The sequence below is a fragment of the Homo sapiens genome, chromosome 12 (assembly GCF_000001405.40).
Source record: "Homo sapiens chromosome 12, GRCh38.p14 Primary Assembly".
NCBI classification, from domain to species: domain Eukaryota; kingdom Metazoa; phylum Chordata; class Mammalia; order Primates; family Hominidae; genus Homo; species Homo sapiens.
The window spans coordinates 26,134,792-26,160,702 of record NC_000012.12 but is presented as its reverse complement, the minus strand read 5'-3'; the positions used below and the strand labels follow the sequence as shown (position 1 = coordinate 26,160,702).

The 25,911-nt window shown below is 40.6% G+C and overlaps 1 protein-coding gene across 2 annotated transcripts in view; it reads right to left on the bottom strand.

Moving 5' to 3' along the window:
- The window catches only part of SSPN (sarcospan), a 112,787-nt gene that overhangs the window by 74,075 nt on the left and 12,801 nt on the right, over positions 1 to 25,911 (bottom strand). Inside the window, exon 1 of one of the 2 annotated variants that reach the window (XM_011520855.2) lies at positions 25,673 to 25,717. The exons of the other annotated variant lie outside the window; for it this stretch is intronic. The gene's annotated coding sequence lies outside the window, so the exon portion shown is untranslated. Of the gene's footprint in view, positions 1 to 25,672; positions 25,718 to 25,911 lie in introns of those variants that run through there. 2 annotated transcript variants of the gene reach the window in all.

Here is a 25,911-nt window from a genome sequence, read left to right as displayed (position 1 = left end):
AGCAGTCAAGATAGTAGATAAGGGAGACTAGGGTGATAGCAGGCTATGAGTAAGGAAGAAAAATGGTTCAAGAACTACCAGAGACAAATTGTATCCTACAAAGGAAAAATTCACACACTCCACGTATATTGATATTGTTTATATTGAATATTGCTGCTTGCATAATTTTTCAAAGTGACTGACAGCATTTGATGTAAAGATAAGTTTGCCCTGGCTGTTACTGTAAAATAGCAGAGTGATTTCTCTTGAAACCTAACACACTGATGTTATTTGTGTGTTCAGATTGCAGTGATTACTTTGACCTGCAAAGAAAAAATGCAAATTGACTTTAAAAATAAATTGGAAGCCCATTTAAGAGCAAAAGGCCATTTGGAGGGACAGGGGTAAATGAGGAATATAAAATAAGTGTTCATTTGTACACAAGGGCATTTTCCTGTTTTCTTTATCTTGATCAAATATTAAATATCATAGACAGAGTCACCCTATGTTATTGGATTCTCGCTTTGAAAATAGAGTTCTACCTATCTCTTGTAGCCTGGACCAAACAGTGCAGTGCCTGCTCCAACCAGGACAGATCTGGTTCCAGCTTCTCACCCCTTCTCCACTCCCCAGACCTTTGTGCTGAAATTTCCCAGTCTTGCCCTCAGTGGCTGATAGTGCTTCAAGGAACAGGTTCACCCAGACCTGCAGAATCATCTACAAATGCTCATCAAGAGGCAGATGTCACAGCCAATCCCCTTCATGGTCCAGACTCTTACAGAGAGGATCCCTTCTCTAACAAGGGATCCTGATCAAGGGCCATCCATTCATTTACCCATTCAATGAATGGATACTGTCTCCCAGGCACTGGGCTTGGTACTCAGGATGCCACTCAGGGAGCATTTGCTGCCGCTCGAATGCTAGAGGTGGGCTTTTTGTTTTTATTTTTATTTTTTTTCATTCAGCCAACATCTGCCTCTTTGTAGGTCCTGCTTCCATTTGGGATTCTGTCCTCTGGAGACGAATATTAAAAAATCATACCTATTCCTGCATTCACACATCAGCCCTTCTGCCTTTGAAAACATAACCATTCTCATGAATGGGTGCAGATTGAATTCTACTTCTTAAAACATGAGCCACCCTGGAACAGCTTCTGCCATCATCCAGAAAGACAGAATCAGTGATGGCTCAGTGGGGCATCCCCCTTGCACTGTTCTACCTGCCCCACCTGTGGGATCTTCATCTGAGTGCACACAACCCATCTTTCCAGACCTCCAGGACACTATGGGCTCTCCTGATGTTCTTCTGGTGGCCAATCTTTAGTCTGGTCATGCTGCCTAGGCATCTTCCCTGCCTGTTCCAGTTTACTCGTTTTTCCCACCATTGTTTCTAGGGTATTAACCAAACTCCTGCCTGCATGACTAAATTAATTTGCTGGGCAGAGAGTTTGCCTTGGGGCCCCTCTGTGGCCTTAGATGACCCCTTCTTCTGCCCAGGACATGTCCCAGCAGGGTCACACCTCTCAGCCCTTCACCCTCTGTCAATCTGTCACAACCCATGGCTGGTTCTGCACTCCAGGCAGCTCCACCTCCTCTCCCCATCCAGCCTGGCCAGGGCTGAGTAGAGCCAGGCTCCAGCCATGGGCAGAGGTCCCTTTCCTGACCCCAGAGCTGGTCACATGGCTGCTGTGCCCATGAGGAGTCTTAATGAAAAGCAACAGGGCAAAGGAGAGCATGGCCTAACCTAGCTCCTGACCAGCTGTCTCTGCTGCTGTCAGTCGCATTGGAAGGTATCCTGACCCCAGATCTCCTCCTCTGTGCTTCTGAGCTTGACCACACAATGGGCTCTACTGGCAAGAGCAGGTAGCCAATGTCCTGCCCATGGTATGAGGCCAACCTTGTACTAGCATTCAGCTGAGACTCACAACACCTTGCTTTAAAGGAACCACTGTGTGCAGCTGGCAAGCCAGAGACTCTTAGACACAAAGCTAAAAGGGGTTCCAGGGGTCTGCTGCAGGAGCAGCCCTGCCCTGAGGCACCTCAGCTGTGTGTGTGCAGCAACCCTCTACCCAGCCTTCCCCAGCCAGGACTCATCTGCCTCTTCTGGTTTTCAAAAGAATTGCTGCAGACTATTCAGAGTCGACCAGCAAAATCAGAGGGACTTCCTGCAGATCCTGTAATGCAGGTGGTAGGAGTTCCCGTCACTCAGAGCCTGAGGTGCCATGACCAAGCAGTCAAGCCTTCTCAGTTCCTACCAGGTTGTTGTCTGGGGAGATGGATGTGGCTAGGAAGGTTGAGTCTGTTTACAGAACTTGGGCAGGCTAGGCCCCTACGCTGACATATTATGGGGAGGAAATGCCCATAGTGGGAAGTAAGGATTCACAAATTCAAATGAATCAGAAAGAAAGGAAAAGGAAAGAAGGGAGGAGGAAAGGAAGACAGAGAAAGAAAAGAAAGGAAGGAAGGATGGGAGGGAGGAAAAGAAAGAAAGAAGGAAGGAAAAAGGAAAAACAGAAAAAAAGAAAAATACATGATGAAGTGGGAAAGAGCTGAACAATGCATAGGAGTTAGCATTTAAGATCATCACATCAAGCTACATGAATTAATATCCTACTTGTGTCTTTTGAAATAATTAAAATCAACATATTTTCTGCCTCCTAAAACAAAACCTATTCGCCATTTCTAGTTGCCTTGGATTTGGTAATCTAAGGAAAAAAAAAAGACAAAAGTAATTGCTTCTTTATGATTACTTTACCACAGGTCATAAGGTAGATAATGAGATTTGTGGGGTTTTCCCTATAAAAATACTTTGAATCCTAAATAAAATGTTAAAAGGAGAAATGAGCACATTGCCCATCTGGAACCAAGAAATAGCTGATTTCTTCATAAAGAGGCCATATAATGGTCAAGACATTGATTTTTGTCCCATAGTTTAGGGTTGCCATAGTATCACTGAGTCACTTAAATCTAATCAAAAGCTGGGAAATATTAATTTTGTCAGAGCAGAATGAAGCAGGGGTATAGAATATAGCCATGAAGTGTCTAGACACAATTAACAGGAACTTCAAAGTCACCTTGACCATTATTTCTAGTGTTTTCAGCCTAGCGCAAAAGTCTGGGTATGTGTGAGAATTCTCCCAGATTTTTTTTTAAAAGAAGCAAAATTTAGTCATCTGAACATCCTGAGAGTGTCAGTGTGGCATTGATAATTGTGAGTACAGTATATCCAGTGTGAATTTTTGTAGGCCTGAGGATGAGTTGACCCAATTTAAATGGACCAAAGTTAATTCACTCCAATTTACTCAGAAATGCTTATGTATAAAACCAAGACTCCAGGGTCCAAGAATGAGAATGTATTTCCCAGTAGTCAGTTTACTTTATTAATGGTATAGAATTAGCCATCAAAGAACTGCCTTCCACATGATCATTGTATCCTAGACAGTTGCAAACAAAAGAACTTGCAGTAAAATCTGCAATCACTTAGTGAAGTCAGCAGCCGCTTTTGTTAATTATTAGCCAATACAAAGTTAAGGTGCTATGAATCTGCACCCGGAAAACCCTACCACAAACAAAACAGCACTAACAAGACGGAGCTGAATGCCATTCATCTGGAGACCAGAGTTGTTTTTACTAAACATGAAAAAACATCTGAAAAGAGCTACCTGTATAGAACAAAGTAAAGATCCCTGCTCTAAACCTTTTCCCCCAATACATGATACCTCAAATTTACCATTAGAAATGTATTTGTTTAAATGAAAATGGTACAGTGTTCCACACACTAGATTTGGAGTCAGACACCTGGATTCTAAAACTCAGGCACCACAGGCAAGTCCTCAAATGCTACGGGCCAGTTTCCTCATATGCAAAAGGGTGATACACAAACCTATGCTATAAGCCTCACAGGGTTGTTTTTCACGTCCAGCTATGTCTCGCTGTGTCCTCTACAGCAACCGTACTTCCTGCCAACCACCTTTACAGAGTGTGTCTTCCTGAGCTGCTCTCTATATTTGTCCCTTCTAAAAATCATTTTCTATGAAACTTCCGTCGCAGTCAGCAATGTGTCAATTGTCTGGAATCTTTCTTGTCATTGTCAGGGGTTTCTCCACATCACGTTTCACTGTCAGTGAACATTCCAGGCGATGACCAGTGGAAGAATCCGCGGGCCTTTCTGAGCTACTCGGTTGCTTTGTTTGTTACTCAGCCTTGATGAGGGACCTCTTCAGCCAAAGCAAAAACAGGTGGTGTGAGGCTAATTATCACTCTGTGGTCCTCCCTTTCTCATTTCCCCTTTTTGTCTTTCTAGTCATGCTTTATTTGCATCTTTACCCCACCATTCGAGGTAGATGCCATCTCTGCTCCCTCACACCCAGGCTTAGCACTTCCTTTCCCAAGTTCGAATGAAAATACTGTGGGCTTTCTAACGCTGCAGACAGCGGTTCTAATCCTGGCTCTGGTATTTGTGAGCTACGTGATTAACGGTGACTTCTCTGAACTTGTATCTCCTCATCTGTGTAAACGGAAGTCATGTCTACTTCACGGAGTTCTGGTGTGAACTAAAGGAGATTATATTTGTGCATCTTAATCACATAAGGTGGCCAAAAAATATTAATTTTCTTACTCCTTTAGATATGCTTTCTTCCTTTTGTTCTTTGTCATGTCTTACTTTCATTCTAAGATTCTTTACCATCAAAGTTCTTTGAACTTTTCTTTCTCAATCCCCTCCCAATCTTCTTCATCATCTTTTCTCAGCCCTTTGAGCAAGCACTTCAGCTGAATGGTTACACACAGGAGCTTTTGTCTGAGAGAGGTGAGATTCAGAACTCAGATCCTCTACCTGCCAGCTCTATCACAAGGAAACTTCTGACTTGCCCTGTTCACTGGGGCTAACAACAGGGCTCACCGCACAGGTTGCTGTGGTAACAATGCAATGGTACCTGGGAAAAGCTTAGCAAAGTGGGCTTCATGTGCAATAAGTGGCCATTAATGTTAGCTCTATTTTTTGTCCCCCTGATTCATTATTAAATCTTGCTCTTTCCTTCACATTTATCATGAATGATTTGCCTTCATGTTCTTCTAACTTCAAATTTCCTCTTTCAGATTAACTCTTCCTCTTTCCGCCAAATTACTCTCTGGCCTACACACATATTAACAAAACCAACCAGTGGTCATCAGTCTATTACTGAGGTGCCTAAAGACTCTTTTTTAAATGTTAATATACCTATTGCTTTTGAGGCTTTCAGGTTGTGTGCCATTACCATTTAAGGGTAACGTGAGGGTCACTTTTATGTTGTTGAAGGTTTGATGATCTTTCGCTCTTTTCCTCTGTCCACAACACCATCCCCTTCCATTTTCAGATACGTGCTCCCATCTTTGTCATCTGCGGCCCTCCTTTCTGTGTTGGTAATTGTTTCTTCTTTAATTTTCACCCTCTCATCTTCTAATTCACCTTTCCCTGATTAGTCTGGACAAGTAACTTTAACTTGTGATTCACTATTATTTCATTTACCCAATTTAAGAAGAAAGAGGTGTTACCCAATGGCCTTTCTGTATACCACGAATACACTAGTTGTAACTTTAAAAGCAGCCAACTGACAAGTTCTTCTCATTTGATATTCATAGAACATGGTTTTGCTTTTTTTCCCCTAAAAAGTCGATATTCAATAAAGAATAGATGTCCTCTAGTAGTCTGATAGAGATCTAGATATCACTCCTAATACAGTTTCCCATTATAAAAATTAATCTATCCTGAGCTCCACAGATTGTTTTCTCTGTCATTACACTGTCATGCCCAGCTTCCTCACCATACACTACCATCACCATCCCTCAAACCCTGGGCCCAAACCCCACTACTTTCTCATATAATTCTGGTCCAGGATCTGATGTGGCACCATGTTACTGGGCCCAATTCTACTCTGCCCTAGACCTCTCTGCCCCTTAATCTGCATTCTGATCATACACAAACAGAAAACACTCCAGAAGATTCATATTAACAATAATCGAATGTACAGTAGATACTGGGTTCTCAGCTGAAATGTTTACCTACTTATCTCAGTTAATCTTTATAGGTACCATTTTATTCCCATTTTATAAATTAGAAAGGTTAAGTAACTTCCCCAAAGTCCCTTAATTAGTCATTCCCTAAGTCATTTAACTAGTGCCAGAACCTGAAGCCACATTTGTCTGATTCCAAAGCCTGTCTCCTTTCTGCTTAGTGCCCCTTAAGAGGAATTGGTGAAGGAGGCAGGGAGGATCCCCCTGAAACTCTACAGAGTTTCACCAAGGCCCTGCTGCTAAGATTTCAGGTGTCATACTCTAATGCAGTGTTGATCTGAACATGGAAATCTATCTTGCATCTATAGGTTGTTGCTCAGTGCAAGGCTCTGAGCTAGGTACTCTGTGCAATGGTGAATAACACACATGGTCTGTCCTCAAAAAGCTCACTGTAGAGTAAAGCAGCTTGGTATTCCAGATCAACCGAGGGTGAGTTACAGAAAATCTTCATGAACCCTGTCATCTTTTGACATATCAGGGACCTAAATGAAAAGTGAAAAATATAGAAATGGGCCTTTTCATAGTACCTTTTTGAGCAACTGCTCGGGTTCAAGAGAAATATGCCCAAGATAAGGTTTTTGCCATAGGTTTTTTTGCACATATCTGCTCTAAATGTAACCACTACAAAAGCAAAGGATGAAAGTCTTTCTGAGGCTACTCCAAGTTTTTCCACAAGGGGTACCCCATGACTGAGTTCTTTCATTGAGCAGAACAAATGTTCAGAGGCACTGGACTTCCTTGCCTTTGGCTGCTTCAGGAATCGTAGCTCATAGTTCTGTTTCTGGGCTCATCCATCAGGAGGGACCATAAGGTACTAGTTCTCCCAACTTAGACTTTACTATGAGAGCTAAGCACACCCACAATATTCCTGATGATTGGGACCACTGGGATATCAGCTACTCAGCACTCAAGAAGGACCAGAACCCAGAATTCGTGGAAGACCTTGCAGACATGCAACAAGAGTCCAGAAGTTCCACCACCTACAAAAACGGTTGTGCCCTTCCAACCACACTGACTGCAAGCCTCTGTAATCACATTTTCTAAAAATAAACCAAGGCTCAGAATGGTGTCACCGCCAGTTCTTCTGTTTATTCATTATTCATTTATGCACACATTCATTCAAAAAATATTTAAGTACTTAGTGTGTGGCAGGCACTATTCTAGGTGATGGAACACAGCAGGGCATGAGTCATTCAAGGTCACTGCTCTCATGGAGCTCAAATTCCAGGAGAGGAGAAAGGAAATAAGAAAACAAATAGATAAAATACTCTTAGACAGTGATAGGTACTTTGAATACTCCAATAATAATGAAGATTATAATAATACTTCAATAAAAATGATGATGATAATATTAGCAGCGAAACTTACATAGATAGTGCTTAATAAGATCCAAGTAGGGTTCAAAGTGCTTTACATATATTAACTCGTTTGATCCTCACAACCCTATGAGAAATGTGTACTACAGCACTTCCATTTAACAAATGAGAAAACTGAGGTTTAGAGGCTAAGTAATTTGCCTGAGTTTCTGAGAACAAGGGAATATGACGGAGAGTGGTGATATGGGCAATGGGGCTTACTTTAGATAAAACAGGACAGACTTCTTTTAGGGGATGATACTTCAGCTAGAACCTGAACAATGAGAAGGAGCCAGCCTTGGAATGCTGTGGGGGAAGAGCACTCCTGGCAGAGGGAACAAGTGCTACGGCCCAGAGGCAGCTACACAACAGGTGTGTTTTAGGAAAATAAAGATGGCCAGCATGGCTGGAATGAAGTGCTAAGTCAGACAATGGCAAGATGAAGTTGGAAGGGAGGCTGCAGCCAGATAAGATAGGCCCTTACTGGGCATGGTAAGAGCTTGAGTCTTCTTCTAGGAACAACAGGAAGACGTTGAAGGGTTTAAGATGGGAAGTGATATGGTACATACATTTTAAAAATATGACTGCCTCCTGTGTGGAGAGTGGACTATGAGACACAGATAAGGAATGAACCAGGGAGAACAACTAGAGGCTATTGCAGGGATACAGGTGAGCAGTGAGGGTGATGAGAACAATTGTTGCAGTAGGGAAGTGGTCAAGATATGTTTTGGAGGTAGAGTCTGCATGATTGGCTGTTGGATTAAAATACAGTGATAAGGGAAAGAGAGATGGCATTTATAATTACTATGGTTTTACCCTGACATAGTGACTTCTAAGAGCCAGTTCTTAAATTTTCAGGAATTTTGCAAGACAGTTGCTAAACATAGCCATTATTAAAAATTAAATGTTATAAATTTATAATTAAATAAATTATATTAGGCAAAAGTAACGCATGCCTAAAACTTATCACTTCCTAATTGTTTTACTTATACTACATTTTTATTGTTATCTATGATCTTGAGGTTATTGATGGTTACATATCTGTTTGGTGGAAATATTACATAATGGTAAGCTGCTGCATATCTTTCCTGCAAGCAGTGGCCTCACATCGGTTGCTTTAAATTAGCCACGGTGGGAGTATTTACACCATGGAAAAGAGCAAATGTGACAGATCAGGGCTTCTTCACTTACTGTTTTGTTGATTGCCTAGAATGAAGAAAATGATGAGGGAAATGTCAATAATGCAGATTAGACTTAAAAGTGTATTGTCTTTGTAGTCACTGAATTATGAATAGCACAAAATATTGAGAAATTCTTCTTTCAGGATTCAAAAGTATTATCTGGTGTGACATCTCTTTCCCCTCCTTCTCTCTTTCAATCTAGGGACTAAGCATTATCCAAAAGCAATGGTTAAATTACCGCATTGGATGAGAAAAATTCTAGTTGCTTTGTTTTGTTTTTATTTTCTACCACGCAGGGGCACATGAGGAAGATTAGACCAGGTATGGACAAAATTTTAAGATATATTTTTTTTCTCCACATGTGGCATAGTGTGTTAGTAAATTCTGCAGCCCTGTTACAAAAAATTTGTACTAGATCCTCCTGGACCACGGTAACCTTTATGCATGCTGAGGGTCAGGTCTTGTCATGCATAGGTAAATTAGATCCTCTGCATGAGCTAAACTGCAAGCTCCATGGGGGCAGGGAGCTTTGTCTGTTTGTTCACTGATTTACTCCCAAGAACTCTGAATAGTGCCTGACACACACTAGGTATTTAGTGTTGAATGAATAAATGATTTGTTTTTCATTGCAATAGCAAAAAATGTATGTGAAAGGGTGCCTCAGAAAAGCTTAGGACCCAATTGAGGATTTTAAGGGGGCAGTTGTGCTGGGTAACAGCAAGAGAAAAATAACACAATGCATGTGATTTTTTTTTTATGGTTGAGAAGAGATCTAAATAGGGAAATAATGCCAGTTCTAATCTAAATATTTTGGAATGAACTGTAACTTCCTTCAGTTTCTCTCTAGCCTCTCCAAAAGGATTTAGCAATGTTTGGTGGTTTTGCCTGGGTATTTTAACAAAAGCTGATCTCATGCTGGCATTATAGCACAATTTTTTTTTTCCAAGAAAACCTGCTCAAAAGACTAACAGGGCACTCAAGAGTTCTCTGAGAGAAGGAACAGTCATAGAAATATTAAAATATAGACTTGCCCCTTTTTTTCCCTAAGTTCCACCCGAAAATCCCACCAAAATGTGCCATTCCAGTGTCTGAAAAGCAATGCAGAAGAATTTCTGTATCTCAAAAAATTCTGGAAATGATTGTTACAGCAAGTCATTTCTCAACCACTGTTCACACTGGCCGATGAATAGCATTCTTGAGTTCTCCAGTGAGCAGAGCCAAACAAGTGACTTCAGACTTCAAAATCCCAGGAGTGATTCTGGCCTGGCTCTGACTTTCCCAGAGGCAAAATTATCCTCCTGCAGAATACATCACAAATCCCAGTAAGGACTGTCCCTTTCCAGGTCTTAAGAGAGGGCTAAAAAAATCAAAAGCCTTATGCCTCCTTCCAAAATCCACTAGCACTCACAGCATTTGGCTTTATGCTGGTTTATGACAAAATATTCTCAACTGTGGGGTCTCAAAGGTTTCCCTTAAAATATTTTTTAGTAAGTGAATACATTATAATGATGCAGATGACTCCCCAAATTAAAAATGTACAAGGATTTGCACAAAAAATTTTAAAATGCTTTTCATTTGGCTTCTGTTTTAAAAGCATACTTGTAAATGAGCTCTTTTTGAAGGATATATAAATTGTATGTACAGGACAAAGAAACAATGTAGTCATTCCAGGGAAAATAAAATCATTAGCTTAAATGAAAAAAATAATTAAACCAGTTTATAGCATCAGTCTGTGAAACTCTAACTGGGTAAGAGACTGAAATGTGAGGATGCCATACTTGGGAGGGCATCGCATACACATTAGCGAAACCTTTTACTGAACTTTGCTCTCAGTGTCAAAATACCCAGCTGTGTGATGGTGCTACCAGGTTTTGTGGAAAGCCTGATGTGTGAGACCTGGGAGGCAAAATAAAGCACCCCCAAGCTGCTCCGGAGTCAAACCCATTTCTGCTTTCTCCAAAGTGCTTCCTTTCTTGTGGCTAATGTCGGCTTGGCCTTGAGCACTTCCTGACACAATCAACAAGAAGCTATAAACCATGGGTGCCCTAGGTTAGGATGGTGTTCAGTCGGCCAGAAACATCTGCAAGTTTGAGACAGTACCCCATATAGCAAAGTTATGTGCCCATGTTTCTTCCTACCTTTCAGAAGATGTGAGGAAGTATTGACCTTGCGAGTATATGTGTACATGTACAAAAGGATTTAAATTCTAGAACCTCTCCTTAAAAATTTCAGGTGCATCATGGTTCACTTAAAGGCTCTAAAAAATTAAAATTAAAAAAAAAATTTCAGGTGCAGTATGTGTGGATGTGTGTATGCACATGTGTGCTAATCTACATATGTTAACTGTATAATAAAAGGTGTAGTGATTGAGTAATGGGTTTTCCCATTATTTGGCTAACAAAAATTACAGCACATGCTCCATGCAGACTATTTCCAAGGTATTATTATTGTTTTCATTGCTGTTGTGGATAGCAGGCAACAGGTACTGAGTACAAATTATGCACCAGACATGTACATTTATTTCTTGTTCAACTCTCACAAGAAATCTATAAGCTGGATATGATTATTGATAAGAGAAAGATGGGTAGAATGAAGCTGAGAAAGGTGAAGTCACTTGCCACAGGGGAGCACTAGGGAAAGGGGAAGCTGGGCTTCAAGTCTGGCATTTGGCTGCTCTGAAGCTGATTTTTTGCCCCCAAATAAAGTGAGCTAAATATGGAAATCATTAGGGACAGAATTTGACCTTTCTTTGATAATTTTAAAAATAATTCTTGCTCTCACAGTGCCCCTAAATCACCAGTATGGTAGATGTATACAAATACAAGGAATTGTAGATGTATACAAATACAAGGTAGATGTATACAAATACAAGGAATTAAGCATTTCTAATCCCAAGAGTTATAGACAAGTAGACTTTTATTGAATGTTTACAAACGCAGCAACACAAGCAAAAAGCCATAGTGATGTTGAGTTGGAATATAGAAACTTCATCAAATCTATTGCATCAGGTAAAGGGAGTAAGCTCTGTATTCACCAATTTACAGTAAGTGCTTCTCCACATAAGATAAATGTTCCAGAAGAAAAATCTACCATTACTTTAAAATCCAAGATGGCTTGAAGTTTTTCAAGTTGAAAACCTTAAACAGGAATAATGTGTGATGGAGAACAAAGAGAATTTCTGATTTTAAAAAATCCAGGCATTTGTGTGTGTGCCGTGGGGAGGTTGGGGGAGGCACCTAGCACATCTGAGAGTGTGATAATACAGATGAGATCAGTAATTGGGCTAGATTAGCCAGTCAGGATGGGTCAGATGCAGCATTTTGTCCACTGTAATTCTCGTAACATCTTCATTTATTTTCAAGACATTTCTGAATGGAAATGTCACCTAGAAGCACAACTGAGAGAATTTCATCATAAAGCAAGCTTTTTTAAAAAGAAAAATGCACCATGTTACAGTCTTTAGAGTTCATGTTTTCACCTGATATAGACATAGTTTTAGAAAACCATGCCTGAAACGAGATGAAACTGGGTTAAAATATTATAGAATGCAAGATGCCAAAATCGTAAAACGTTAAGTAGAGGAATCACGGCCTGCTCCAAGCCTTGAATTTTTCACTTACATCCACTCTGTAAAGCAGCACATCATGTTGGCCCGTTCTTTATCATCACACAAGCCTGCCTTGTTCATCTTTATCTCAAAAATTCAGTTCTAAAGCATTCAACAGGATTATTCACTGTCTAGATTTTATTCAAATCGATTTAAGATCTCCTCCCCATCGGTGCCCAGAACTAAAATACAAAATGCAGCATCTTCATTTCCTTCAGAGTAACATAACTCCAGGCCAATCACCCAATTCAGATCTCGGGAAGAAGCTAGTCACCCCAAAATAGCCTCCATGTAAGGCTGCACGCAGCCATGGAGATGACCTGGCACTCAGCTGGCAGGAGGATGGGAAGACAGCAGGGCCTGTGCAGATAGGTCCTCAATAAGAGCCCTACGTTAATTCATGGGTTGCTAGACACAGATGAGTTATTTGAGTCCCTCCCTTGACAGAAATTTATAAAACAGAATTCCAGACTATAGAATAAGCTTACCAATTGTCTTAAAAATCCCCGGCCATGTCTGTTTTATAAAATTAAGCATTAAATTCATTAAATAAATATTAAGATATATTCTAGAATTCCAAAAAGTTGTCTTAACTACAATATTTCTAACAAGAAGATTCTATTAGTGCAAACGCAGAGGTACAAACATGCAGCTGCCCCCTCCCACATGTATTTTGAGAGCCTTGCTGTTGCCCCCAAACTACACCAACCTAACCACCTACCCATAGAACCTGTGGCTCTGCACACATTCACTTGACGATAGACAGGGGCTGATAATTGAAAAGCAAGCACTTGCTCCCTTAAAAGTCTTCTATTGTCAGGCTTGCAGAGGAAGAGTGGGGAGAAAAAAGTTCTGCATCTTTCATAGTTGTTTCTGCTCACACAGAAATTTCTGGTGTTGCATTAAGTAGTAATCAAAAAATACCTCCATGCCTTTTTTCATGTGTAAATATTATTGCTGGGCTGGGCGTGGTGGCTCACGCTGGTAATCTCAGCACTTTGGGAGGCCAAGACGGGTGGAACACCTGAGGTCAGGAGTTCAAGACCAACCTGGCCAACATGGTAAAACCCCATCTCTACAAAAATACAAAAATTAGCCGGGCATGATGGCAGGTGCCTGCAATCCCAGCTACTCAGGAGGCTGAGGCAGGGGAATCACTTGAACCGGGAGGCGGAGGTTGCAGTGAGCCAAGATCATGCCATTGTACTACAGCCTAGGCTACAGAGCAAGACTCTGTCTCAAAAAAAAAAAACACAAAAAAAACCCCAAAAATTATCGTTTTCATTTTCTCAGATCCTAGCTTCATTGCATATTGCTTTATTATATATGTTACAAGATGTCCTGGCTGAGCTAAAGCTCAGATATGGATATTTCCAGAAAGTGGAATTAAGCAAGACTCTTACTTCTACCCATCCACCTGTATTTACCAATTTGCTTTTGTTTTGAAGAGCATCCTTGGAAAAAGAGTCAAACCCTACCAACCTGAAATCTTTGTTCAGGCACCCGAATCCTTGTTATCAGTCATTTTAAAACCTGTGGGATAAACTTGCACTGCACATTGAAGCTTTATTCTTATATTTTAGCCTTGTATGTTTATAAGTAAAAGTATGTAATATACATACTGCTTTTTTGGTTGAATCAATCAAATCTTAAAGTTTAAAGCTTATTGACCTTATTGTTGGGAAATAATGATTTCTTTCTTTTTTTTTTTTAGACAGCCTTGCTCTGTCGCCCAGGCTGGAGTGCAGTGGCCCATCTCGGCTAACTGCAACCTCCTCTTCCCTGGTTCAAGCAATTCTCTTGCTTCAGCCTCCCAAGTAGCTGAAATTACAGGCCTATGCCACCACACCTGGCTAATTTTTGTATTCTTAGTAGAGACTGGATTTTGCTATGTTGGCCAGGCTGGTCTTGAACTCCTGGCCTCAAGTGATCTGCCTGTCTTTGCCTGAAGGCCAAGGTTTGAAGGATCACTCAAACACTGAACTGTTGAGTCCCAGTTGTGGTGTGGAGATGGTATTGTTCCTACTAATGCTAAAGTTTAGGTGAATCTGTATTTTGAGGAATTAGATGACTAAATCAACTGATAGGAAAGAATCACTTCTAGGTGGTACTATTTAACAGCATAAATGTCCCTTACCGCTCTTACATGGAAATGGGCACAACAGGAGTCAGAACGAGGGTGAGACTGAGGGTGCTCCAAGAAATCAGCTTAAGAACATGGGTATCTAGTGTAACCATCCATCTGCACATAACTTGGAAAGTGATGATGAATCCATCCCATCTCAGGCCATCTGCCTCGGCAGGTTGCACACTCTGGAGGAGACTTGATAGGTCTGACTTGGAGAAGGTGAACCACCACCACCTGCCCCACTTTGCTATGCAGGGTGAAAGGCACCACCCTTCTCTTCACTTGTCTCTTGAGGGTGGCAATTGCTTCTCTGGATTTACGGTACAGCACCACTGTTGTCATTTAGCCAACATCAGGAAAGGCTAACTTCCAGCTCCATGGACAGCAAAAGGTCAATGTCAGCTAATGTGAGAGGGCAATGGTCGACATAGGAACAGGAACAGGGTTTCAGCCTCCAAGTGGCCAATGGGTGAACATGTGTACATGGGTCCACAAAGTCCTGACCCAGCCAGCTGTAGCACCAAAGCAGTGAACTGCACCATGAGTTTACGGGGCATGAGGAGTCTTGTTATGCCTTCTCCATCCTAGCTCCTAAGAGAAGCATTACTCAGAGGGGCACGAGGGCGGAATACCAGTTCTGTCTACATGGAATTGTACTCATCTCCACCAGTACCCAATCTGAGGCCATGGTGGTGGCGCCATTCTTGCCTCATAAGCGGAACTGCATGCCCATGTCCAAGACTGCAGGACTCACAGTCGAGAGTGAAAACCAAGACTGAGCCTTGGATCCTTGGAGGCACCTTGAGGATGTCCAGAAGTATTAGTGGCAGAGGCTCTGTATGAGACAGAACGTCCTGCCATCTCCTAACAGGGTACCAATGCTAATGTCCCAGGCATAGCGGACACCACTGTGTTGTCTGCCCTGTACTTTTCCCCAATTCCATTGACACACATTTCACTTCACCCCCAACCATAAGGGTGGGCCCATTCCTGACACTGGATGAATCAGAGCCCCTCACCAGCCCTCCCAGGACACAGTGATTGACCAAGTGCCCCAAGAGGAGCTGCGCAGAGTCGTTTCCCAGCCTTTCTTGAACCGAAGGTGGAAGGATCAACCCTTCTCTCTGGTTACAAAGTGGTGAAGATGGGCCTTAAAGCTGCAGGCCCCCATCCCTGACTTCAGTTAAGTCTTGAGGAAGGAACTGGCTTGAGAAAATAAAGCTCGTTTGCAGAGGGAACCTGACTTGAGAGCTGGAAAGAAAGACAGCTAATGATGTTCACATCTGCAGGTCCAGTCACCTTGCCTCCCTCAGCTGGTTACATAGACCAAAAATCTCTCACTGCTTCAGCTAATGTGAATTTGGTTTTTGCCACTTGTTGTGGGGTGAAGTCGTAATATAACAATGCTATCTGGCCAGTGAAGTCTGAGTTATTTCAGTTACACAAAGGTAGATGTGATAAGAGTTTGACTTAAAAATAAACAGAGTTCATACTGCATTGGCGGAGGAAAGTGACCAACTCATAACTTTTAATATGAATTTAGACTACGAATAATATAATCAGAGACCCTAGAAACAGAAAGATTTAGTAGATAATCCATTCTACTTGTCGGATAATATAAAATCATGCTACAAAACCATCTATTCTTTCAACAAATATTTACCGAGCTCAGTATCTGTCTTGAAGAATCAGAGGTAAACAAAAATGGCAAAGTTCCTACTATCTTGGAGCTCACATCTGCCTTATATTGCAATAATTGCCATAAGTTGTATCCTATTCATTGCCTGCTCTTGTTCTGTGTTTGATACAGAAAAATGGAAAAACTGAGCTCTGTTCTTGAGAGGCTCACAGTCCAAGAGAGACGCAGAATGTATATGTTACATGCTACAATGTTACCATGCCAGGGGGAATGAAAACCACGCCTTACCTTGTTGATAAGCAGGAAAGAATAGGAGGGATGGATATTACTAGGGCTACAGTAACATAAGACATCTTAAAACTCTCCTAGTTTAGGCACCAAACTCTCCTCTGGGTCTTTTACTCCATTCGATTCACTTGTTCCTGCCTTACAGCCTGGTGGCCAGCATTTGATTTTTATGCTATGGTAAACCATGGCAAAGTTCTGCATTCTAAATCACTTGCAGAAAGAATTGATCTTACCCTAGTATTTGTTTAAATCAGCAAGTCTTTGTTTTAAGGCGGCAGTCCCCAACCTTTTTGGCACCAGAGACCAGTTTCATGGAAGACAATTTTTCCATAGACTGGGGTGGTGGCGATGGTTTCAGGATGATTCAAGTGCATTACATTTATTGTGTACTTTATTTCTATTATTATTACATTGTAATATAGAATGAAATAATTATACAACTCACCATAATATAGAATCAGTGGGAGACCTGAGCTTGTTTTCCTGCAACTGGATGGTCCCATGTGGGGGTGATGGGAGACAGTGATGGATCATCAGGCATTAGATTCTCATAAAAAGCACACAACCTAGATCCCTCACATGCGCAGTTCACAATAGGGTTTTGCACTCCCCTGAGAATCTGACAGGAGATGGAGCTCAGGCGGCAATGCAAGCAAAGGGGAGCAGCTGTAAATACAGATGAAGCTTTACTTGCATGTCCACCGCCCACCTCCTGCTGTGGGGGTTAGGGACCCCTGTTTTAAGGTACATCACAAAAATGTAACTATTTGTTTCACATGCCAATATGTCAAGTATTTCTTTCTAACTGTTCAAAATGCCTACCTGATTACTGGCAATTAAATTAGCAAAGTCATTTTACAGGCCCCTGAAGTACCCATTCTGCATCCTACCTGCCTCAGCTCAGGATTTCCCTAATGTCACCTAAGAGGCCCTAGAGAGGCACTTAAAACACCAGCTCTGCAGGCAGGCTGTCTGGGTTTAAATCTTAGCTCTTTACTGACTGTGTAATCTTGCGCAAGTTACTTAGCCTCTCTGAGATTCCTATCTTCCATCTGTGAAATAAGAATAATGATGCCCAGCCATAGGTTACTGTGAATATTAAATGAAATCATGTGTATAAAGCATTCAACAGAACACCTGGAACATAATAAGCACGCTATTAATATTTCTCTATTATGATTACACAGGAGCTTATGATGATCAAGTATATTAAGATGATACACTACCATCATCTTAAAGAAATATTTTGCTTAGCTGTTTGGTACCACTTTATACTTAATCAAATGACTACTGTTTCTTTAAAATATGAATAAAGGCTACTTTCCAAAATATCTGCTATATTCAGTGGCCATATTAATTTGTCATAAATGTAATATGTGTATGATATCCTACTGAGAACTACAAAGAATTATAAGTGAGTCATAGTCCTTGCTTTCAAGAAGTTTACTATCTAGGAGTAGAATAATTAGACCAGTGTAAAAAATAGGTATATACAATGTGACAATCATCATAATACAGGTACAGTAAAGTGAAAAGCAACTGAATCCATTTGAGAGGACCTGGAAGAGGTGACATTGGAAATCTCACTAAATTGCATGTACAGATGAAGGAGCCAGGCATTTCTGTAGATGACAGCACATTCTTTATTCTTTCCTTCTTCTCTGACTATTCCTTCTTGGTCTCACTCTTAGACACACATCTTTCATCCAATGTGTAAAAGTCAGTATTCCCCAGGATTCCATCCTCAACCCACTTCTCTTCTAATCTCCATGTCCTGAAATAGCTCAACCACTCATATCACATATTCCATTCATTCCAGATATAAATCTCTAGCCCTGATCTTTCCCAAGATTCAGACTTAAATCCAGCTTCCTCTGAGATGCCTCTTCCACCCATGGTACGTCACAAACTTGTCACAGTGAAATCTGTCTCATATCCTCCTCCCATATTCCTTATTCTTATTGAAGGTACTACTCTCTGTCCAGTCACCCAAACCAAACCCTGAGTGTCAACTCCTAATACTGTTTCTCTCTCACTCACGCAATAAATTGGTCACCAATCCCATGGAACGCACCTCTAAAATACTTTCCCAGATCTCCCTATCATTCTCCATTTTCACTGTTACTGTCCTACAACCTTTCATCTTGAAAATGGCCATATCGTCCCAACTGGTTTCCCATCTCCAGCATTACCTCCCCTTCAATATACTATCAACAGTGTCATCAGAATACATTTTCTACGATGCAAAACTGGCACTGCTTAAAACCCTTTCATGCCACCTAGACAAATCAAACATTTCTTGGTAAGTCATACAAAGTCCCAGTGATAAGACACCTTCCTAACTTTCATTTTAGGCCCAGCATAACCAAATCACCTGCAGTTGATTTAATACCTGTGTATTCTCTTTCACAACCTCCAACAACCTCTGCCTGAAAATCCACCTGCTCCTTTTTACCAGGCTTTTGCTTTCCTACTTTCTCTTCAAGGTTGTGCCCAATAGTAATTCCTCTGGAGAGCCTGCCAAGGTGCTTTTCCTATGGGTGCCTGTGACTCCCCATATGAGTCCCTTTTATAGCCTTCATTATACTGTTCTGTAATCATTGCTTTACTCATCTTCTCTCCCATAGACTGTGCATATCCTGAGCAAGACATCCTGTTTTCATGCATTTTTTAAAAAACATACATTCACTGAGCGTTTACTGAATGAAAATGATATACTAGGTACCTGACTTCCTGAAGTTCATATGTTAATGATATGTGTCTGGTAAGAAGGTATAAAGACAAAAACAAATTAGTAAGACAATTTCATATTCTCACAGAAGCTATTCAGAAAATAAAGCACAGAGTAAAAAGTGACCAGGTGGTGGTGGTGCCTTTTTGAGGAGATTCTGGTAATCCAAATGATGAATAACCAGCTTTGTGAGGATCTAGAGGAGAAAGTTGTAGGGTCTTGCAGGCTACTGTATTAGTTTTCTGTGGCCATGCTAACAAATTACAATAAATTTACCAGCTTAAACAACACAAATTTATTATCTGAGAGTTCTTTGAGATAGAAGTCTTTCATGGTTCTCATTGGGCTAAACTCAAGATGTTTGCAAGGGAGCACTCCTTTTTGGAGGCTTTGGGGAAGAATCCATTTCCTTACGTTTTCCCGTCTCTGGAGGCACCCACAGTCCTTGGATTTTACCTCCCTTCCTCCATCCCCAAACACAGTAGTGCTGCATCTACCTGGCTGTTCCATTGTTACCTCTCCCTCTAATTCTCTTCTGCCTCCTGCTTCCACTTATAAACATCCTTTTGACTACATTGTTCCCACCTGGATAATCCTGGATAATCTCTCCTTTCCAAGATCCTTAATATAGTCACATTTACAAAGTTTCTTGTGCTATGTAAGGTAATATATTCACAGGTTCCAGGGATTAGGACATGGACATTTATGGAGGCCCATTATTCTGCCTACTATAGATTGGACTTTGATCTAACTGAAATACGTTAACTAGTGGAGAGATTTTAAGCAAAAAAGTGGCAGGAGCTGCTTTATATTTTAAGAGTTCCTGTGTGAAAGATCTGTGTGATGAAAAAGGAAAGGCAGGAAGACCAAATATGAATGTATTCATTCGTACTCACATTGCTATAAAGAACTACCTGAGACTGGGTAATTTATAAAGAAAAGGGGTTTAATTGGTTCACTGTTCTGCAGGCAGTACAAGCAGCATGGCTGGGGAGGCCTCAGGAAATTTACAATCATGACGGAAGGTGAAGAGGAAGAAGTCACGTCCTACATGGCCGTAGCAGGAGGAAGAGAGTGAAGGGGAAGGTGCTACACAATTTTAAACAGCCAGATCTCATGACAACTCACCCAATATCATGAAAACAGCGAGGGGAAAATCCACCCTCGTGATCCAGTCACTTCCCCCGCGGCCCCTTTTCCAATACTGGGGATTACAATTCAACATGAGATTTGGGCGGGGACACAAATCCAAACCAGGTCCACTCTCTCAATAGTCCCAATGAGAGATAGTGGCTTTGACTAGGGTGACAGCACTGAAGATGGTGAGGACTGTCCAGATTTGAGAAGTATTTTGGAATAGAAGAAACAGAACTTGCTGATAGGTTCAATGTAGAAAATTAATAAAAGAAGAGGACAAAGGATGATCCTTAAAATCAGAGCTCAATTAACTGGTACATGGTAGTGTCATTGACTGAGAATGATGAAGACTGGAGGAAGACTACATGGGTTTGGAGCAAAACATGGACATTACGACGTACCAGGCTGGAATGGTCATGATTTCATACAGTTATTTCATAAAAACAACTATATTTCATGAAATAACTACATGAAATCCAAAAGGAGTTATCAGGTAGGAAGTTGAATTTATGAGACTGGAGCTTGCAGTAGAAAAGCAGAGATGGAAACATAAATTTGGGATTATCAGCATAAAGATGATATTGAAGCCATGAGCCTGGATGAGATCATTCAGTGAGGAAAAGGAGACAAGAGAGGAGGGCAAGAGCATATCCAGGAAAACTCAAATCTTGACAGGCCTTATTCATTTTTATAGCCCTAGCACCTAGTGCTGGCAAAGAGTGTCCGCTTCAGAAATTGCTGATAAACACAGGACCAACATTCTGGGACTCCACACTATGACGAATTAAGTTATAAAAATTTACCACTAAGTAAATTATAGTAAAAACAAAGGTAATAAATAATCAAAGCCCATCAGTTCCTAGATATTTTACAACATTTTACTATTATTTTACTGTTTACCACATTTTACTATTATCTTACTATTTACCACATTTTACTATTTGCTTTTCAGATTAGTTATTACATCTATTATACTTTCCTAACTCCACTGTCAGTGATGCCACATTAGTAGTGGTGGGAGTATTTACACCATGGAAATTGGCAAGTGCTACAAATTTATTATTTTGCCAATTGTTGGACTCAAAAAAGAGATAGAGAAAATGTTAATCAGGCAGATTCCATTTAAAAGTGTCACATTTATAGTTATCACATTGTGAATAGCACACAAAAATAGGGAAATATTTTTCCAGTATGTGAAAATTATTACCTGATTTAGTGAAAACATTGCTCATATCAATGATGAATAAATGAGGTTCTAACAAATGTCTTCACTGTATGACTTTCACCTTAATCATTAACATAAAGGAAAATTTCAATCAACATTAATGTCAGAATTACACTTGGGAATTAATTGCACTCATAGGTTGGCAAGAGATAAAAGAATTTAGCAAAAATCAATAAAAGCACTCAGTGAAAATCAGTTGGCTATATGGGATTCACAGGAGTAATATATATTTTATTCTTATGTGTAAGTGTGTGTTTTTGCTACACATCATTTATAACATAGTATATAATAAACCATACACACACATGCACACAGGCACACACCTACATTTTTCATAAAGAACCAGTTAAACATTTACCAGCACACTACTGCTTACATCTAAACCTAACTAATCCCTATATGGTATGATATGCAGAATTGAAATTATTATATTACTATTTATTTATGGGAAGTAACTAAAATATTCATAGCAAATTCATGATCACTGTTTAAAAATATTGATAAGTTATGTCATTTGAGTTCCAGTAAAATTAAAATGGACTATAGTTTATCTTTATTGGCCTGAATTTATGCTCGATCATTGATTTTTTTTTCTTCCCACACGGATTCTGAGCACCATAAGCACCTTAAAAAAAGAACAGGTTAAAAAAATGTCTTGGCTTTTTAAAAATAATTATTTATGGATTGATCAGTATGTGGGCCTAATAAAAGCATCTAGACTTTCCTTGTGCAATGTGATAGTCACTAACATGTGGCTATTTAAAATTAAATGTAAATTAACTAAAATTAAATAAAATTTAAAATTCAGTACCTTAGTTAAACTAAGCAATTTTAACTGCTCAATAACCACATGCGGCTAGCACTACCACATTGGACAGGCCAGATTATAGAATATTTCTTTCACTGCAAAAAGTTCTGTTGGATAGCCCCTATCTAGAAAATGCCTTGCACATAGAAGATACTCTATTATTGTTAACTCAGTGATCAAATTTTACCCTATTTTGGAAAGGTGAAAAGTTTAACAAAATCAAAAATTTGTTTTTCAGGAGAAAATAAACCACCAAAATGATTGCATATTTGGATATCTTTAAATACAGTTGGCCCTCTGTATCCACAGGTTCTACATCCACAGATTCAACCAATCGTGGATCAAAAATATGTGAAACGAAATAAATAAATAACAATACAAATTTAAAAATTCAGTGTTTATATAGTGTTTATGTCATATTAGGTATTATAAGTAATCTAGAGATGATTTCAAATATACGGGAGGATGTGCATAGGTTATAAGCAAATGCTATGCTTTATTTACATGGGACTTGAACATCCACAGATTTTAGTATCATGGGGTCGGGGGAGGTCCTGGAACCAGTCCCCTGTGGATACTGAGGGACAACTGTTAATATTCAACATAGTAGGCCAGACGCGGTGACTCATGCCTATAATCCCAGCACTTTGGGAGGCTGAGGTGGGTAGGTCACTTGAGGACAGGAGTTCGAGACCAGCCTGGCCAACAGGGTGAAACCCGTCTCTACTAAAATACAAAAAAATTAGCCGGGCGTGGTGGTGGGGCCCCTGTAATCCCAGCTACTCGGGAGGCTGAGGTAGGAGAATCGCTTGAAAAGAGGAGGTGGCAGTTGCAATGAGCCAAGATTGCACCACTGTACTCCAGCCTAGGCAACAGAGCAAGACTCCATCTCAAAAAAAAAAAAAAAAAAAAAAAAAATATATATATATATATATATACATACACACACACACACATATATATGTATATGTGTATATATATATTCAAGGTAGTGACATATTTATTGGACATCTTCTATGTGTCAGAAATACTAGTCACCTCACAACAGGCATATAAGATCCTCATTCTATAAGTGCGGACACTGAGGTTTAGGGAAGTTCCAAACTTTGCCTCTCCCAACTAGGCAAACAGGTATTCGTAAAGCTTAACCTTATGCTCACAGTTTCAGACCCCAAAGCCATGCTCTTTCTGGCATAATGAAGCCTCGCTTCTCTAAACAAAAATCATGGAGGTAAATAGAAATGCTGAATTTTTGTCTGGGTTTTTGGGAGGCCATTGTGCACACAGGCAGTCAAGATTATGGGCAATGACTCTGCAGCCGCAGTGTTTTCTTCAAATCCTGGCTCTGCCATTTACTATTTGTGTGACATGGACAAATTACTTAACCTGTGCCGCAGTTTTTTCCTTTTCAGAATGGCATTATCACACTATCTATATCAAAGGGTTGTTGAGCAATTAAATGAGTTAAGACTTGCAAAACAGTAAAAGAGAGCATGGCACAGAGTAACTGCCATAAAAGTCTTGCTTTTATTAGTAGAATGGCTGAAATAAAGAAGAAATAAGTCAAGATGCCTCCCATGGCCAGCTAACAAAGTTTGAAACTTAATTCACCCATGTCATTCATTTAAGACCTGACCAAGGCTTTAACTTACGACAAAGCATGGACTAACAGGATTTCCCCCAATTTGCACATAAATGTGGAACTATGTGACAGCTCTCAGAGGAGCTGTCTAAATAGCATGATTTAAAAGGATAAGGTTGTGACCAGTACTGCCTATTTCCAAGTAGCACACGAAGTACCATGGACTCTTAACTATATCTCATTAATGGAAAATCACGTTGACAGGTCTGGCCTTCTGTTTTATTGTTATTCACCCATTACTAGAGGAAAGAGTAATGGAAAGCAATAGGTTTACCTCTTGAACTTAAAATGTTACTCAATTCATCAATTATTTTCATACACCCATATTTTCTATGACACTCATAATTTTAACCAAGCAGCTCAAATGGGAAAAATAATAGCTATCATTTATTGCTCACCTACTAGGATGGGGGTGTTCTCTGCGCATTGTCATGGACACGCAATAAACAGAGGGAGGTACTGCTATTTCTCTGTAGTTACATTTGAGATAACCGACTCATTCATAATTTGTCCAAGGTCACACAGCTACTCAGGGGAAAACAGCATTTAAACTCAGGTCCTCTTGATCTTAAAGCCTAAGTCCATACCAACTCTGCCACCATACACAGCAACATGAAACACACTTATCCCTTGGTATCTGCAGGGTATTGGTACCAGGACCTCCGGTGGATACCAAAATCCTTGGGTGCTCAAGTCCCCTGATATAAAATGGCATAGTCTTTTACACATAGCCTACACACGTCATCCCATACACTTTAAAACATCTCTAGATTACTTATGACACCTAATACAATGTAAGTGCTATATAAATAAACTGTATTGTTTAGAGAATAATGACAAGGGGAAAATGTCTGTACATGTTCAGTACAGACACAATTTATTTTCAAATATTTATATCCTAAGGTTGGTTGAATCCATGGATGGGAGCCCACAGATATGGAGGGTGGACTGTAATATGAAACAAGGACAGAAATATGAGATATGTCTATTTCATTACCTTTGGTATGTCTGAAGCAGAATTTCTAAAACAGAATAAAAAGCCTAGGAAAAATCAGTAGTGCCATTATCCAATGACAAAATTGACTCAGAATTGTATCTCAGCTGGATCACCACTGGCAATGCAGGAATGTTGAGCAGGTGTGAACTCAGACCCAGGCCTGCTGATGGCTTGTGGTCACCGGGGCTATATTTGGCAAACGTAGTTTGATTTTGCAAGAAGCCCTTGACCAGAAAAATCAAAACTTTCTTTTTGAATACATAATTAGAGAAATGAGAGCTATGTGTTTTTGCAAGTACGAGTGCCAGGAGGAAATGCAAAGTTGGCTTGAGGGTGAGGGTTGATGTGTTTCTGACCCTATTTCCAGCCTATCAAGGGCACGACTGACTGACCACCTCCAGGAGAATTCCTCCACATTCGTAGCGCATCCTCCAGACCTGGTTCCTGCCTCCTGCATCTTGCCCCAGCTCTCTTTTGTCTGTACTGACCCTTTGCTCCTTGCCTCCTCTGTGCCTACCAGCTTGGCATTCTGATGGACTGGCTTCACTGGCTCTCAATCCTCCCACTTTGTTCCGGAGTCTGAGGCTTGACTCCTACATCCTGGCACAGTGCTTGTTTCTTTCTGCACTCTTGGTAACCAAGCTCTTTGGCTCTGCCCCAGGACCCCCTCCTGTGATCCACTCAGCCCAGCAAACCTGTAAACACAGCTTGCCAGGCCAAACTCTGCGCCCCTCCCTACTTCTGGCCTCTGAGAGCCATGCCCTGGATGTTACCTCACCAACCCACGGTCTCTGGAGCACCTGTGGAATTCGACTGGACTGGCTCCAGCTTTTACAGTCTCTCTGATTTGCTAATGCACACTGCGAAAGGAAGTAAAAGTTCTGCAAGTGAGAAACTCAACTTACCAAGGCTGCTAGGGAGCAGAGCTTACTGCCTTCTGGGCACCGAGCACATCAATCCTGGTACAATGACAAACAGCAATTCCACAGCCACAGGCCCTACCCCCTGACAGAACTTCCCACTACTTCACTAAAGACCCTGCCAGACTACTGAGTTTCCTGCAATATCAGGAGCATTTTATGATCCTTCATGGTACCTACTTTCTAATCTCCATGTGCCTGGTAAAGCCAAGAAGTAAATATGC